The sequence below is a fragment of the Homo sapiens genome, chromosome 18 (genome assembly GCF_000001405.40).
Source record: "Homo sapiens chromosome 18, GRCh38.p14 Primary Assembly".
In the NCBI taxonomy this organism is placed as follows: domain Eukaryota; kingdom Metazoa; phylum Chordata; class Mammalia; order Primates; family Hominidae; genus Homo; species Homo sapiens.
In genome coordinates this window covers 12,473,798-12,491,635 of record NC_000018.10, presented here as the reverse complement: position 1 = coordinate 12,491,635, position 17,838 = coordinate 12,473,798, and the positions used below count along the sequence as shown (strand labels likewise).

At 38.8% G+C, this 17,838-nt stretch overlaps 1 protein-coding gene across 14 annotated transcripts in view; it reads left to right on the top strand.

Annotated features, from left to right (window-relative positions):
* SPIRE1 (spire type actin nucleation factor 1) overlaps nucleotides 1–17,838 on the top strand; it is a 215,580-nt gene that overhangs the window by 170,456 nt on the left and 27,286 nt on the right. For 7 of the 14 annotated variants that reach the window (NM_001128626.2, XM_011525701.2, XM_024451224.2 and 4 more), the window contains 2 exons: nucleotides 5,636–5,677; nucleotides 11,765–11,937. In NM_001128626.2, coding sequence (NP_001122098.1) covers nucleotides 5,636–5,677; nucleotides 11,765–11,937 — 215 coding nt within the window. Of the gene's footprint in view, nucleotides 1–5,635; nucleotides 5,678–11,764; nucleotides 11,938–16,531; nucleotides 16,700–17,838 lie in introns of those variants that run through there. The other 7 variants (NR_197429.1, NM_001394323.1, NM_020148.3 and 4 more) reach the window with 2 other exon arrangements.

The window sequence follows — 17,838 nt, the reverse complement described above, 5'->3', positions numbered from 1 at the left end:
AATGTACTTTCTGGTGACAAAGCTTCAGAGTGGATCACTTGAGCCCAGGAGATCAAGGCTGTAGTGAGCTGTGATTGCACCACTCCACTCTAGCCTGGGTGAACCAAGATTCCATGGAAAGAAAGAAAGAAAAAAAAAAGATCAGTTGACTGTATATGTGTGGGTTCATTTCTGGACTCTTTGTTCTGTTCCACTGTTGTTTGCCAGTACCATGCTGTTTTTGTTATTGTAACTTTATAATATATTGTAAGATCAGAAAGTGTGATGTCTCTGGCTTTGTTATTCTTTCTCAAGATTGATTGGCTATTCATTGTCTTTTGTGGTTCCATAGGAATTTTAGGATTATCTTCTACTTCTGTAAAAAATACCATTAGGATTTTCTTGGGGATTCTATTGGATCTGTATATAGCTTTGGGTAGTATTCACATGTTAACAGTAAGTCTTTCAATTCATGAATATTATTCTTCCATTTGTTTCTGTCTCATAGTTTTTGTATATAAGTCTTTTACCTCCTTATTAAATTTACTCCTAGATATTTTATTCTTTTTGGTGCTGTTGTCAATGGGATTGTCTTTTTGTTGTTAGTGTATTGAAAAAAATTTTTATGGAGTTTTCTATCTGTAAGATCATGTCATCTGCAAACAGGGACACTTTTATTACTTTCTTTCCAATTGGATGCCTTTTATTTCTTTTTTTGCCTAACTGCTCTGGCTAGAACTACCAGTACTATGTTGAATATAGAAGTGGTCATCCTTGCCTTGTTCCTGATTTTGGAGGAAAAGCTTTCAGTTTTCCCTTATTGAGTATGATGTTAGCTGTCAGCTTTCCATATGTGGCCTTTATTATGTTGAGGTAATTTCCTTCTATTCCTAATTTGTTGAGTGTTTTTATTTTGAAAAGGTGTTGAATTTTGTCACATGCTTTCTCTGCATTTGAAATGATCATGTGATTTTTATTCTTTATTCTGTTACGGTGGTGTATCATGTTAATTGATTTTCATGTGTTAAGCTGTCCTTGCATCCCAGGGATGAATCCCACTTGGTCATGATGTATGATCCTTTTATTGTGCTGATGGATTCAGTTTGCTAGTATTTTGTTCAGAATTTTGAATCTATATTCATTAAGGATTTTAGCCTGTAATTTTGGGGGTTTTGGCCTCGTAAAACAAAATTAGAAGTGTTCTCTCATCTTCAGTGTTTTGAAAGAGCTTGAGAGGGATTGGCATTAATTCTTCTTTCAATATTTGGTAGAATTCACCAGTGAATCCATCTGGTCCTGAACCTGCCTTTGTTGGGGAGCTTTTTGATGAGTGATTCAATCTCTCATAGCAAGCCATATTCTTCAGTTTCACTTTTTAAAATTATATGTAGTTGCTAATGGGAACCCTACTTTAGAATAATTAAATAACATTTTTATGTTAAGTATGTCTTTATTTTAACCTTGACAATTGGTATTTCACAACCACCAGAATTGAGCTGTTACAGAAAGATATTGTTCTGTGAGAGTGTTACTTCTAGAATTCCGAGTTCAAATGGATATTAAACCCTAATTGTAAAGTAAGGGATTTTGGTCATTTTTTCTACAGAACTACATTGGTTCTTACTATACAGTTTTGCTTTGGGGAGTTCAGTTCTGATAATATTGGCAGAATTAACTTGAAGAAAAGTTTCCCTAAATATTTGTATCACTTTCCCCTACATGTAATTGCAAGTAGGAGCTCAATGCAGCAATGGCAAAAATGCCTGAATGTTTAAAGATGAAAATGTTACCCATAATAACAACAGCCGGAGGCATCCACTGTGAATTTACTTGTGCATTACAAAATGAGGATGAAAACTGTGTATATACAGTACTTTGTTATCTGCATCTAATGGTTTATTTGGCATGACCATCTTCCTATGTCATTAAATATGACTCCAAATACGATTTATAAGGATGTGATCTCCTAACAGATGGCTAAATTGGGTTTTATTTACCTATTTTCCTGATTCACAAGCTTTTTCTATTTTTTCCTAGTAAGTCTGAAATTACTATTCTTGTACATCAGTCTTTGTTCATGTCTCTGATCATTTGTTTTCTTCTAAACATCTTAATTGACATCCTCAATTTTTGTCCTCTTTTTGATATAGAGATTGGAAAATATATAAATGTCATCTCCCAAGAAATAATTGCATCCCCTTCTTAACACAGTAGTCAGCCTTATTTCAAAAGATATATTCAAGTGCTAGAGAAAAAAAGAGCAGAATAAAAAGATATTAGAGAAGATGGAAGAGTGCTGTGATAATATGTAATACTTTATTTGCTATACATAATTAGGACAATCTAGAGTAGGTAATATAGGAGTTTAGAAGTACGGTTTTTTGAATGGTGAGTGGAAGATGTTTTTTTTCTTTACTTTTTAGAAAACTTTTCCGAGATAAGTTCAAGGAAGATTATTCTTTCTTTTTTGAGACGGAGTCTCGCACTGTCTCCCAGGCTGGAGTGCAGTGGTGCGATCTTGGCTCATTGCAAGCTCCGCCTCCTAGGTTGACACCATTCTCCTGCCTCAGCCTCCCGAGTAGCTGGGACTACAGGAGCCCGCCACCAAGCCCGGCTAATTTTTTGTATTTTTTTTAGTAGAGACGGGGTTTCACCATGTTAGCCAGGATGGTCTCAATCTCCTGACCTCATGATCCACCCGTCTCGGCCTCCGAAAGTGCTGGGATTACAGGCGTGAGCCACCGCGCCTGACCCAAGGAAGATTATTCTTATCAACACAAAATCCCTAATCAATTTCCTATGAGATAATTAAAACACAGTAAAATGCCTGTTTAAAACATACTATACATTAGGATGAAAATACTTAAAATATTATTTCCCAGTCCTTGAACAGTAAGTATGATTGTTAAATAATAGTTGATTTATTTGCCACATCTAACATGCATATCCCCTTTATTGACGTGTGTATATCTAAAAACATCTACATATGATTCTGACATCTTGCTAATGTGTGCTTGGGATGTAAATAAGTACTTTTCCTTCACGTCATTTTTTTTTAATATTGAGCTTTTGGGTTGTAAATAAAAATTATTCCTTTAAAACCAGCTGCTAAAATACACACTGAGACATATTTACATTCCATTAAATTGGGGTATTAGAAGTCTAGAGGCTGTCTCCCTGGAAAACAGCAACTAGAGAGACATTGTGCCTGATATGCCTGTACTTCCGAAGCTACTGCTGCTCTGCAGTGTGTCCGTCTCCAACCACAAAGGCCCTCCCCACTGGGCATAATCCCCACCAGGACCTCAGGCTTCCAGAAATCAAAAGCCAGGAAGGCAAGGTTATCTTTGGTGACAACAGAGTTTCACCAAGGGGCCAACTTTGTGAAATGGGGTGACAAAAAAATTACAAGGAAAAATAATTAACATCTCAAATTATTCTACCCTCTTTATATGAAGAGGATTTAAAAGAACAGAAGAAAGGATATGGCAAACGATATTCAGTGAGGCATTGCTTTGGCTTCAGCAGTTTTGGAGAATATGGGAAGTCCTGGTAGATTTAGTTTTTGGAATGGAAAACGAAGACTGTGCTTTGTTGGAGAGGAAGGGAAGAATGGCCAATGGATATCTGAAGTCCTGTGCATCAGTGTCTGATGTGCTGGTTTCTGAACAATCCTAGGAAGGCTGAGCCTGTGTCACAGGAAAGATGTTTTCTCTTTGATGCAAAGGTACTGGTAAGAGCTTTGGACTGCAGTGAAAATAGATAATCCTCGCTGTCATGAATACCTAAAATCATCACATCTCTGCAATAACCTTTTTAACAGCTTTATTGAGCTTTACGCCATTTATATACCATAAAATTCACTCATTTAAAGTATACAATTTAGTGGTTATTATATGCATAAATTGTAAAAGCAGAGTGCTTCAACAGGAAATAAATAATAATTTCATTTTTAAGAAATGATAGGCCAGGCACAGTAGCTCACGCCTGTAATCCTAGCACTTTGGGAGGCCGAGGCGGGCGGGTCACAAGGTCAGGAGTTCAAGACCATCCTGGCCAACATGGTGAAACCCTGTCTCTCTAAAAATACAAAAATTAGCTGGGCCTGGTGGCAGGCACCTGTAATCCCAGCTACTCGGGAGATTGCTTGAACCTGGGAAGCAGAGGTTGTAGTGAGCCGAGATTGCACCACTGCAGCCACTGCACTCCAGCCTGGCAATAGAGTGAGACTCCATCTCAAAAAAAAAAAAAAAAGAAAGAAAATAAATGATAATTACGGTAGTCTTCTTTTATCTGAGGGGGAGACATATGCCAAGACCCCGAGTGGATGCTTGAAACCATGGATAGTACCAAACTTTATATGTACTATGTTTTTTCCTTTACATGCATACCTATGAAAAAGTTTATTTTATAAAATAGGCTCAGTAAGAGATTCACAACAATTACTAATAATAAAATAGAAAAAGTAATATTCAGGAAACATGCAATTTAAAACTTATGAATTGGCCGGGCATGGTGGCTTATGCCTGTAATCCCAACATTTTGGGAGGCCGAGGCATGTAGATTACCTGAGATCAGGAGTTCGAGACCAGCCTGGCCAATATGGCAAAACCCCGTCTCTACTAAAAATACAAACGGTAGCCAGGCATGCTGGTGGGCACCTGTAATCCCAGCTACTCAGGAGGCTGAGGCACAAGAATTGCTTGAACCCGGGAGGCGGAGGTTGCGGTGAGCTGAGATCACACCACTGCCCTCCAGCCTTGGCAACAGAGCGAGACTCCATTTCAAAATAAATAAATAAATCTTATGAATTATTTATTTCTGGGATTTTTCATTTGATATTTTTGGATCATGAGTAACTAAAACCATGGAAAGTGAAAATACGATAAGGAAGGACCACCATATTCAGTTTTTACTGTGTGTCAAGCACTATTCTAAGCACCTTTTTTACATGAAGTTATTTAATCTTTATAACAATTCCATAAGATAGGATTATTCCCATTTTACAGATGAAGTAACTAAAGCACAGAGAGGTTAAGTAACTTGCCTGGGGTCACACTCCCAGTTAGTGGCAGAGCTGAGGTTCAAACTCAGGCAATCTGTCCTGTCCTTCAACTACTAGGTTATATGGCCTACAATAGATAGTTTATTAACACATAATGGTGATGCTGCTGAACTAGCTGAACTGAGAATTTTTTATGAACTGTTTCACCTTTATTCTGAGAGCCAAATTTTCATCCTGACATAAATTATTGAAGGATAAATTTACTCTGAAATTTTAAAGATGTTGTATGTTCCCTAAAATCATGTTTTAAAACATGGCTTTTTTAAAAATCTATATTTAAGTCAAACATCTTATTCTGTGATTCTTTAAAATGTTTGTATTTTTATCATGCTTTCATTTTTTACTTGTTTTCTAAAAAGTTACTTTTTCCTTTTATTGTTCCTCCATTTGAAGTCTTAGTGATATAACTGAAACTAAGACTCTTGCATGGTTTTAATGTATTTCAGATTTTCATTCACTAGCTTCTGCCTGCCTTAGAGTCTGACATGTAGCCACTAAGGGTCTTCATTAATCCGTTCCCTTTTTTGTCCTCTCTGTATATTCCTAACAGCTGAATTATTTTCTTTTTATTGTTTGTTTTCTTTTTTTCAGCAATGCGGCCACTTAGCATGTCTTACAGTTTTGACTTGTCAGGTAAAAAAAACAAAAACACTTTTACACCTGACGTGGGTTTTGTGGTTTCTGTGAAATACATTTCATTCATCTGCTTGTTCAAACATGTTAAAAAAGAAAATTGAAAGGCTTCTGCTAAGCCGTGGTCAGTAAAATAAAACATTCTGCTTGTTTGAAAACAATATATGTAAAAAAGATACAAGACTACAGTAAATCTGTTTTCTCCTAAGCAATTTTGGAAGAACCATCACACCACACTCATGGTTCTAGAAGATGGTGCCCATCTTAATGGCGGCTGTCACTGTCCAGGCTCTTCTAGAGCAATGAGGTTAAAGCCTACAGCAGACCTTTGCCCTAAGAGAATAGAAAAAAACTTCATAGAAACAAAATTCTGACACATCTACTTCCTGTTCTCTAAAGCATTCAGTTATTTAAGTAACTAAACTTAAAATGGTTATCTACTTCAGATGACAGCACCTCAGTTGATGGGCAAGAACTCTTTTGTATCTTTGTGCTCAGTGGATAGAGCCTAGTCATGAATGACTTTGAATGCTGATTAAGAGTATAAAAATACAGGCCGGGCGCGGTGGCTCACGCCTGTAATCCCAGCACTTTGGGAAGCTGAGGTGGGCGGATCTTAAGGTCAGGAGATGGAGACCATCCTGGCTAACACGGTGAAACCCCGTCTCTACTAAAAATACAAAAAAATTAGCCAGGCGTGGTGGCACACACCTGTAGTCCCAGCTGCTTGGGAGGCTGAGGCAGGAGAATTGCTTGAAGCCAGGAGGCGGAGGTTGCAGTGAGCCGAGATCGCGCCACTGAACATCAGCCTGGGCAACAGAGCGAGACTCAGTCTCAAAAAAAAAAAAAAAAGAGTATAAAAATACAAGAGCATTGTAATGGCTTTGGTTGTAATATATAATTATGTGCCTCAGATTTGTAGTACAAGTTTAGACCCTTCTGTTAAACAGAGATTAATAGTGAAATAACTAAATTTGAGCTATAAAATCAACCCTTTATAAATTAAAACTTTAAATATATATGAGTGAATTTTCTTTTATTTATTTATTTATTTATTTTAGGAAATAGAGACAGGGTTTCACCATGTTGCCCAGGCTGCTCTCAAACTCCTGGGCTCAAGCAATTCACCAACCTTGGCCTCCCAAAGTGCTAGGAATACAGGCGTAAGCCACCTCACCCAGCCAGGTGAATTTTCAAAGCCAACTTAATCCCAATAAAATATTTTGCAAGTTAGAGTTTTTAATTTTGGAAGCTACTGTTTTAAATATAAAATGAGATGAGATGTTGGCACAAATATTTTCTTTTGGGATTTTCTTTTAAATGCCATAGAATGCCTCTTAAGATAACAAAGAATTGTTGGCATACCTTACGTACAAATTCATATTTAAAGAGTTCTAGTATATTCTGTATATGAATATTTATTGAGTATCTTCCAGCTACAAAGCTAGTTTCCAACTGTTTTTAAATCTTTTGCTTATTTGTGTAGGTCTCAGGCATGACTGTAATATTTTACAATCACTCACTTACTATTTTTGACTGACCACTGAAGAGCTTTTTCTATTTTCTTTATTCATTTGGAATTTTTATTTTTTCAGCCATTTGCAAAGTGACCTTGTAAAAAATTTGGTCTGGAAAATAAACACAGGAACATAGTAATATATATGTCACTACTAATCCCCAAAAGTTGGCAATATACATTACAGATACTCTACCTTTTTTGAATATCTACAAAAGATGCTTCCATTAGTTGGACCGTAATAAGAAAGCGAGTGGTTGGCTGCCTAAACACATTGACCATTGGCTAATCTAAATTAGGTACACATTGCTGATCTTGACAGTATGCATGCTTACACACCTCATCTATAGGTATGTTGTGTGTTCTGTGTTCTTGCAGCCTATACGATGGGTTCTGTTTGGAAAGAAAACTCTTGGTACTTAAATTTCTTAGTGTAAAAGGGTAGCAGAGAATTTTTATTTGGTTTCACTGCTTATCATTTGCTATAATTTATTTCATGTCTTCATGTACTTCGTGATTTTCTAATGCTTCATTCTTGATTTCTTGTGCTGCTTTTATGTTTTTCATTGTTGCATTTTAACTATTAATTAAAATTTCCCAAATTATAAATAGAAAAGATTGATTCATTCTTCTAACTTAAATGCAAAGATTGGAGTGCATTTTCTGAGTTAGAAAATGAACAAACTAGTGAGAAACATTGTAAACATATAGTGTAGATGATAACTCTGAACTTAAGTACAAGATAATGATGAATATTCTGCTGCTTAAGTATATCTTAGAAATATTAATTCTTAGTGAAAATCTTAACCTATTCAACATCACTTATGGTAAGTATAACTTATTTTTCCTATACAGGTATTAAATATATAATTTATATGCCAGTCACATTTCCTCACACTAAATAAGGCAGCAGACACATATATTTAATATCATGGGTATGCATTTTAGGTTCTAAACCTAAGGTATGTGATTTCTAAAGCCATATCTAAATATTTCACCTCTTAAATATTTTGCTTACATATAAATATCACCAGTTTTTTTTTAAGAAATGCCATCTTATGTACAAGAAATACAAAGCCTATCCAAGTGTTTTGCTTTTCTCATTTGATACATTAAAGTAAAAATGATAATTTATTCATTCAAACAGAAAACTATAAGTGATCAAACTTCTTAAAAATATGTTTTCCGGGCACAGTGGCTCACGCCTATAATCCCAGCACTTTGGGAGGCTAAGGTGGGCAGTTTGCTTAAGCCCAGGAGTTTAAAATAAGACCAGCCTGGGCAACATGGCAAAACCCTGTCTCCTACGCACACACACAAAAAAATACCAAAAAATTAGCTAGGCGTGGTGGTGCACACCTGTAGTCCCAGCTACTTGGGAGGCTGAGGTGGGAGGATCGCCTGAGCCCGAGAGGTCAAGGCTGCAGTGAGCCATAATTGTGCCACTGCACCCCAACCTGCGCAACAGAATGAGACCCTGTCTCAAAAAAAAAAAAAAAAAAAGTGCAATTAAGTCTTTTGCCAGTCTGTGGTATGAGATAAAATCACTCAAGTGTTTAGATCATCTTGAAACCTGGCTGTTACATAACCCGTTTTTTATTAATTCAGTTTTTCTCAAAGCTTTGAATTTAGTACAGATGTTTTCTTTCAGTAGTCTCAGTCAATTAGCTAAAATAATAATTATCAATCTCATAGCACAGGGTTCAGGCAATTACAGAGCTATTGGACAATTTCTCAAATCCCCTGCATTGAGAATAAACTGAACTCAAGGCAGCCACTGGCATTTGACAGTGTTCCCTAAAATTCAGTTCATATGCCATCTTTATGAATTTCTGCCAGCCTTAAGTGCCCCGGTACTATTAAAAATTTTTAATCTGCCATAAACAACTTTAAACATTTCTTAAGCAATAAAATCATGGATCTTAAAATACAGTATTTTTTTTCTGCAGCAAAAAGTATTTATTTATTTATTTATTTTGCAGCACATTAAAATAAATATGGGCCTGGTGCGGTGTCTCATGCCTGTAATCCCAGCACTTTGGGAGGCTGAGGCAGGCGGATCACAAGGTCAGGAGATCCAGACCATCCTGGCCAACATGGCGAAACCTCGACTCTACTAAAAATACAAAAAAATTAGCTGGGCGTGGTGGCACATGCCTGTAGTCCCGGCTACTCTGGAGGCTGAGGCAGGAGAATCGCTTGAACCCAGGAGGCAGAGGTTACAGTGAGCTGAGATCGCGCCACTGCACTCCAGCCTAGAGACAGAGCGAGACTGTCTCAAATAAAAAATAAATAACTGCCAAAACTATTTGAGTGTTCCTCTGTGCAGTGGTATGCATACAGTGCTATTCTTAGGGAAACTCTGGCTTTGTCGATTGGAAATGTGGGGCCAGCATGAGAAGCTGGTTGTGTTTCTCTTATTATGATAACTCCAATTATAGTAATTAGAAAGTGACCTGCTGCCAGGTCAGCGGTGGGAGCCTCTGTGAGAACGTGGTTAGGAAAGGTGGAAGGTGTGTGCGTTTGAAATACTTGTGCTTTCTCCTAGAAAATTCCCACAAAATGTCAACAATTCTATTTCTCATTATATCTCCTTTTAGAAGATTCCTACAAAATATCAACAATTCTATTTCTCTTATCTCCTTATTGAAAGATTTAAGATTTTTACCTTTATAATTTGTATAAAAACTTGCTGCTTTTTGCCTTTTGTCCCTTTCAGTGCTCCCCACCACCATCACCAATTATTTATTTGTTCTAGCTATTTAATGCCTGGGAAGGTAACAGTAAAAGAAATGCATGTGTTGTCAAGTTCTCAATTAAAAATTTTATGTAAAAAGATAATTAATGGACAGCTGTTCTTCCTTCTTTCCTTTCTTCCTCCCTTCTCTTTCCCTTTTTTCTTTTTCTTTTCCTTCCATTATTTCTAGCTTGTTCAAACCCTTCAAAAATAAGTAGAAATTATAAATATTAAATAAGATATATATCATTTGTAATAAGAAATAATTTACATGGTTTTTATAAATAATGTCAGGGAAAGCTGCACTAGAACACACTTATATACCAAGTGTTTCCTGGAGCTCTACCTCTCGTACTTAAGGTGTGTAAATATTACTTGCTAGGGGGGAATATCCTACTGTAAACAGCACATTCTTGCGGGGGGCGGGGGTTGTTCTTTTTTTTGAGACACAGTCTCACTTTGATTCTCCTGCCTCAGCCTCTCGAGTAGCTGGGATTACAGGCGTCCACCACCACGCCTGGCTAATTTTTATATTTTTAGTGGAGACGGGGTTTCACCATGTTGGTCAGGCTGGTCTCAAACTCCTGACCTCAATTGATCCTCCTGGCTCGGCCTCCCAAAGTGCTGGGATTACAGGCGTGAGCCACCATGCCGGGCCACATTCTTGTTTTTTATAGTAACCTCAGTTACAGTGCTTTCCCCTCTAAAAGAGCATCAGTCAGTCTTTTTCACTTTAGTACTTAGCATGCCCTTTGCCCCATCTACGGCAGCCTCACAGACTGCATGCAAAGAGCAGTCGAGTGTGCTGGTCTATAAATTACATCATGCGGTAACTGCTCTTTTTCACTTATAAATGTACCGATTTTATAGTTACTAAATTTAGCCCATTTTTAACTCTTCATTTGAAATACTGAAGAAAAGTAGTTCCATTTGCCTTGGAGGATTCCAGGCTATGGTACCAAAAAGCAGGCCATCAGAGTCAGTACTGACAAAGACTCATGGATCAGCTGTGGCATGACACCATGGTGCCACTTGCCGAATCCATCTGAGCCTTAGTTTATTTATTCACCAATAGAGATCAAAATCAGTATGAATAATTGCTAACATTTATTGTTCACTGCCTGTACTAGGCACAGAATTTTATATGCAATTATTAACCTGTTTAATGCTCACAACAAGCCCACGTCTGTTAGTATCCTCATTTTACAGATGAAAGGAGATTAGATAGCAGTAGAGACCCAAACCATCCCCCACACCACACTATAGACTGCTTCATTGTCTGTCATTTGTTGTATTGCCTTCTCATCCAAATTTGAGCTCTTAATAATATAAATCAGACTCATCAGAGGAAATGTATCCCAGACTTTTTGTGTTCACATTAAATATGTTTATATGAATATAGATTATTAGCCATTTTTATTTTCAAACCAAAACTTTTTCAGATCTTACAGCCATGTGTCTGGTAAGGCTTTGTGTGTGTCCTCTCTTCATCCATACATCACTGGATCCTTAGAGGCTGTGAAGTAAACTAGCTTCTCTCAGCCCCAGTTTCTTCATCTGGAAAATAAACAAGTTGTGAGTCAGTTATCTGTAGGATTCCTTTTAAGTCTAAATTCTAATCTACAAGTATGAATATGTAATTATTCATTTTAAAGTTTCCTTTAATTGAATTTGACAGTTAATATCCAACCAGAAGAAGTTTTCTATACATAGGCAAGGTGTTACTGAATCAAGCCTCTGTGTTTTTGTATGAAATGCTCTGTTACCTGGTATGCTTCCAACACAGATAACCTTTCTTGGCTCAAGAAAAGGTAAGCTTTTGCTTTTTTACCAGATGTGACTACCCCTGAATCTACAAAGAATCTTGTGGAGTCATCTATGGTGAATGGAGGTTTGACATCACAAACAAAAGAAAACGGGTTAAGTACCTCACAGCAGGTGCCTGCACAGCGGAAGAAGCTCCTCAGAGCCCCAACTCTGGCCGAACTGGACAGCTCTGAGTCTGAGGTGAGGCCCCAGTTCACCCAGCTTGACTCCCAAGATGAGGGTGCTTAATGCTGTCTGATGCAGTTTACTGATTATCTTGCTTCAGTTGTTGCTTAATCTCTTCCCATTTTTCAACCAGTAAAGCTAGGATTAAAATTAATTTGGTTTGCAGGAAATTAAATAATAGATTACTTTCTATTAGTAAAGACCAATATAGTGGCTATAATTATAGAACACTAAAATTTTTGTCGGGCATGTTAGCTCACGTCTATAATCCCAGCACTTTGGTAGGCCAAGGCAGGAGTATCGCTGAGCCCATGAGTTTGAGACCAGCCTGGGCAACATAGCAAGACCCTGTCTCTACAAAAAATTAAAAAGTTAGCCACATGCAGTAGTGCATACCTCTGGTCCCAGCTAGTTGGGAGGCTAAGGCAGGAGGATTCCTTGAGCCCAGGAGTTCAAGTCTGCAGTGAGCTGTGACTGTGCCACTGCATTCCAGCCTGGGCAACAGAGTGAGACTCTGTCTCAAAAAAAAAAAAAAAAGAAAAAGAAAAAAAAAATACATATATGTATACACACACACACACATATATGTAGTCTTAAATTATATGTGGGGTTAAAACAAGTCAGCAAGTTTTCCAGCTTATATTACCTTAATATCTTCTCGTTTGGGGAACAAAAAAATAAAGTTAAGAAAAACATTTTGCATAGATTCTTCTAAAATACACACACACATATACACACACTCATACTTAGGATTGTTCTTTTTGTAATAGTAATACCAACAGACAAAACTCCAAAAAAGAAAATTCTAATAGTATTCTCCAGATTTCATCATCCACCTACTGCCCCTTGTGGAGAGGGAAGATCTCATATCCTTCCTGATGTCAACATCCACCTATATGCTAATGCTTCCCACATCCATCTCAAGCCCCCATCTGCGATGTCAGTATTGTATACGTCATTGCCTGCTGGGTCTCCACTGCCCTTCCTCAAAATCAACTTAGGTAAAATGAAATTCTCTTCTTCCCTCCCTTCTCCCTCACCCACTTGCCAAATCAAACACACACACCTACCCTAGCTACATACGCATGCGCGCGCACACACACACCCTAGCTACACACACACATACATACACACCCTAGCTTCACACACACACCCTAGCTTCACACACACACCCTAGCTACACACACACATGCACACACACACACTCTAGCTTCATACACACCTCCCCTAGCTACACATGTGTGCGTGCACACACACACCCTAGCTACACACACACATACACACCCTCGCTTCACACACACACCCTAGCTACACGCGCACATGCGCACACACACACTCTAGCTTCATACACACCTCCCCTAGCTACACATGCATGCGTGCACACACACACCCTAGCTACACACACATACACACCCCAGCTTCACACCCTAGCTACACACATGCACATACACACACCTGCGTGCATGCACACATACCCCCTAGCTTCTCATCTTCTGCTTGCTATCCTAGTTGCTGGCTCCATCCAAGGTAGAATCTGAGGAATTATTCTTTAATTCTCCTCTCATCGGTCTCCACTCCATTCCAAGCAATACCAATAATAATTTTGCTACTAAAGGTTTTTCAAACACTAATAACAATAAGAAATATTCATATTACTAACGTCAGTTGGTCTCTCTTTCTCACCGTCTCTTCAGTCTATCTGACTTTCTTCTTGGCTCCCCAAATTCCGTCTTGCACTCACCGCTCTTTGTAACTCCTGCTTAAAACCTTCGGAAGGCTCCCTGGCACTTACAGAATAAAATTTGCATCCCCTGATCACACGCCTGCAGACACCTCTGGTCTAATGTCACACCTTCCCTGTCTCTGGTTTATGCCTCAGCCACGCACAGCCGTTCACTCTTCCTGCACAGCCCATCGGTGCTCAGCTTGGTGCTTAGCTGTGTCTGCGGTCTGCCCCTCACGTCCTTGTCAGAGTCAGCGTGGCCTCGCTTTGTCTTAGGAAGTCTCCTGGATACCACTAGCCTGCCAGGACCCCTTCTCTGTGATTCTATCATAACCCACTCATCCCTCTGTTTCACTGGAACACTTTAACACCCTGTCATGTAATTATTCACTTATTTCTCTGTCCCACCAGAGTACATGTTCCCTGAGAGGAGGAACCATGCTGAATTTACTTTATATCACCAGTTTCTAACACTCAGTAGACACTCAAATATTTAGATAAATTCATACTAACCTATAAGAACAGTGATTTACATTTTAAAAGCATCTAGCTCAGATATCTAGACAGAGCTCCAATTCGGTAGCCACTCCCACATGTGGCTATTTAAATTTAAGTTATATTAAAATTAAATAAATGAAGAACTCAGTTTCTCAGTCATGGCACTCAAGGGCCCAGGAACCTCTGTGACCACGGCTACACAGATCACAGTCCCTTCACAGAGTTTGGTTGGGTGGCACCAATCTGCAGCTGCCAGGAACTACCTTCCTGCACCCCCACAGGCCTACTTTTAACTCCTTTTCTAGTCCTCTTTCATCACCTCATGAGGCAACACTACACAGCAAGGCATGATCAGATAAATTTGCAGCCTCTGTAACCTTCTTTGTGGTCCTCTTTTTGAAGATAAAGTGGTAATGCCCCAAATCCAAATCTTGAGATGATTTGCTAGGCACACTCTTCTTAATCAAAGAGAGGCCATTTTCATCAGTTAGAACATGAAGCAAGCAATAAATTGCCGAAAAGAGAAATGTGAGATCTGGATTCCAGCTACCTCTGACTTTTGTCACTAGCTACTGGTTTAAACCCGGATGAATCATAGTTCTTAAGTCAGTGGTGGTAGAAATCTCAAAGATTTATGGAACAGAGTGAATGATCTTAGACAAGGGTATGGAAATAAGCGTATTCCTCTCTTCCTCTTCAATCTAAAATTGATGTTTTTAAGTATAAGGGAAGAGCAAAGGTATTAAATGTGGGAATGCCTTATGTTCCTTTTTAAATATATACATAATTCCTTTTTAATATATATATTTAGAAGTTTTGAAATTCTTTTATATATATTTGAAATTCTTTTATATATATGTGTATATATATGTGTGTGTATATATGTGTGTGTGTGTGTGTGTGTATATATATATATATATATATATATTTTTTTTTTTTTTTTTTTTTTTTGGAGACAGAGTCTCGCTCTGCCAGCCAGGCTGTAGCACAATGGCCCAATCTCTGCTCACTGCAAACTCGACCTCCCAGGTTCAAGCGATTCTCCTGTCTCAGCCTCCCGAGTAACTGGGATTACAGGTGCCTGCCACCATGCTCAGCTAATTTTTTTATATTTTTATTAGAGATGGGGTTTCACCATGTTGGCCAGGCTGGTCTCAAACTCCTGACCTCAAGTGATCCACCTGCCTCAGCCTCCCAAAGAGCTGGGATTACAGGCGTGAGCCACCACGCCCAGCTGAAAACTTCTAAATGTATTCATATGTTAACATTTAGAAAACACAGATAAACCAAAGTCTTTATTTTTAATCAACTGTTTCAAGTTTTGTGTTTGTATTAATCAAAGTTTTAATAAACTTTCTATTGATGAGACAGTAGTTCTCTTTAATAGTGGTAGATGAATTGTGTTTATTCTAAAACACTATTAACATTAGCTAATTTCAGATCATCAACTGGTTAAAGCCAGCTCAGAAGAAGGTCTGTTGTAAAGCCATTTAATGAACTGACATTTATATAGACATGAATGAACACCTGGAAACTCAAACTGTGTTTCCTTACAGTGTGAATTAGTAAAGACAATTCTCCATGTGGCACCTGCCCTAGGCCCGCTCAGGGTGTACGGACTGGGTGCTGGAATGGACACTTGATCTTGCTGGCCATCAGCGTATTCTCCCTTTGATGAGAGGAGCTGATTCTGTGATTTCTAGGTCTCTTCCAGTTCCAAAACGTGGTAGTTTTGCTCCAGAAGCATGAAACTGGAAAAGATGTTGAGGAATTCTATCTATTCCTAAACCAAGATTGACTTACCTCTGGTCATATTTGCTGTCTTACAAATGGCCACAAATACAGAGACTGTTAAATACATCCCATGTCACATTACAGGGTTTTTTTTCGTTCACATTTTATAGTAATTTTTTGTTCCCTACTTTTTAGTGCATTTTTAAACTCTTCTCCTATTCTTTTCACCAACTTCTTTTTTTTTTCCAGTACCACTCCATTTTTTCCATTCAAATATTTATTGAATGCCTTCAGTAAGTACTGCAGGTACAGACAGAAATATGATGGTCTCTGCCCTTCTGTTGTTTATAATTTAAATAGAATATAAAAAACATACCTAAGAATCATTCCAAGTGCTTAGTGAGCACAGTGTCTTAGGGTATGTAGAATGTGACTGGACACTACAGAAGTCCAGAGACGGCAGAGGTCAGTTCAGTGAGTCAGTAAACACCACAGGGACTGAAAAGGCTGGAGAAGCCACGTGGAAGAGTAGTAGGATTTAGGTTTTAGAATGAGTATAAAAGACAGCAGAGGGCTTTCCATTTTGTTATGAGATGTGAGCCGGGCTGTGCCACAGCATGTTGATGTATTTCTCCCGTGCCTTCCCAATAGCAGAAATGCAGTCTTACTCAAACCTCTGCTCCTTACTGCATGTCTGGCATCTAGTGACTCTGCTGACTTGTCTAGTGAATTCCTGGCTGACGTTGCACCATGAGCAAAGACCAAGTGAAGACTCAGGGCTGTAGAAGACAGTAGAGAACAAATAAAGGGCAGTCTCAAAAAGGTTGACTTTATTCTTTTTCTTCCTGCTTCTCAGTTGTATCACCTACTTCCCCATTTTCCCTCTCCTCCTCAAATTTAATGGCTGGCTTCCAAACATGGTTTTTTGGGGGGGTTTTTTGAGATGGAGCCTCACTACATTGCCAAGGCTGGAACACAGTGGAGCGACCTCAGCTCACTGCATCCTCCGACTCCCGGGTTCAAGCAATTCTGCTTCAGCCTCCCGAGTAGCTGGGATTACAGGTGCCCACCACCACACTCAGCTAGTTTTTGTAATATTAGTAGAGATAGGGTTTCACCATGTTGGCCAGACTGGTCTCGAACTTCTGACCTCAGGTTATCTGCCCACCTCGGCCTCCCAAAGTGCTGGGATTACAAGCATGAGCCACCACACCTGGGCCCAAACATGTTTTTAAGTGCCAAAACTTTTTCTTGACACCAGACTTACACAGAAGTACAGTGTCAATCAGCTGGAAATGGAGATGGGGACTAGAGCCTTCCCCACCCACCACCACCCACCCTTCCCATCCTTCAGGGCCTCCTGAAGGCCTCATAGAGCAATGTGAAATTTCTTTTCCATTCCAAGAGGGAGTGGCCCACTGCTGAGTCAGTACTCAGCTGGCACTGAACTCACCAGTGGAGTCCACCTGCCTCTGCTGCCCCTTGCATGAGCCTCTTTGTCCACTCTCTGTAATGAAGCCCACAGAACAATTGAAGGAGACACCAGAATTTCCCCTTGAAGAGGAAGCAGTGACACTTCCAACTGTAAACTGAACACTTTATTCACTCTTGATATAGGAAATGCTGTCACGTGTATGTAAATTTCACCTGTTAACTTATCAGGACTCATTCTAGCAATGTTTTTGGTTTTTGTGGGGTTTTTTTGGTTTGTTTGTTTTACATTTTAATAAATGCTTTCTAGCCACCATAATACCTACTGTATGGTAAACTCTGTATATATACGTGATCTTATTTAATCTCCTTTTCCATAGAAACTCTATATTCTTTTAAGAGATACCTTCCACCATTCCACAATATCAGCTGTGCTCCCCTGCAGAGTTTTCATTTGATGACATCCACCAGAAACTTCTTACCACACATTGCTGTGTTTGGGGGTTAACTTAAATGTGGGTCCAAATTAT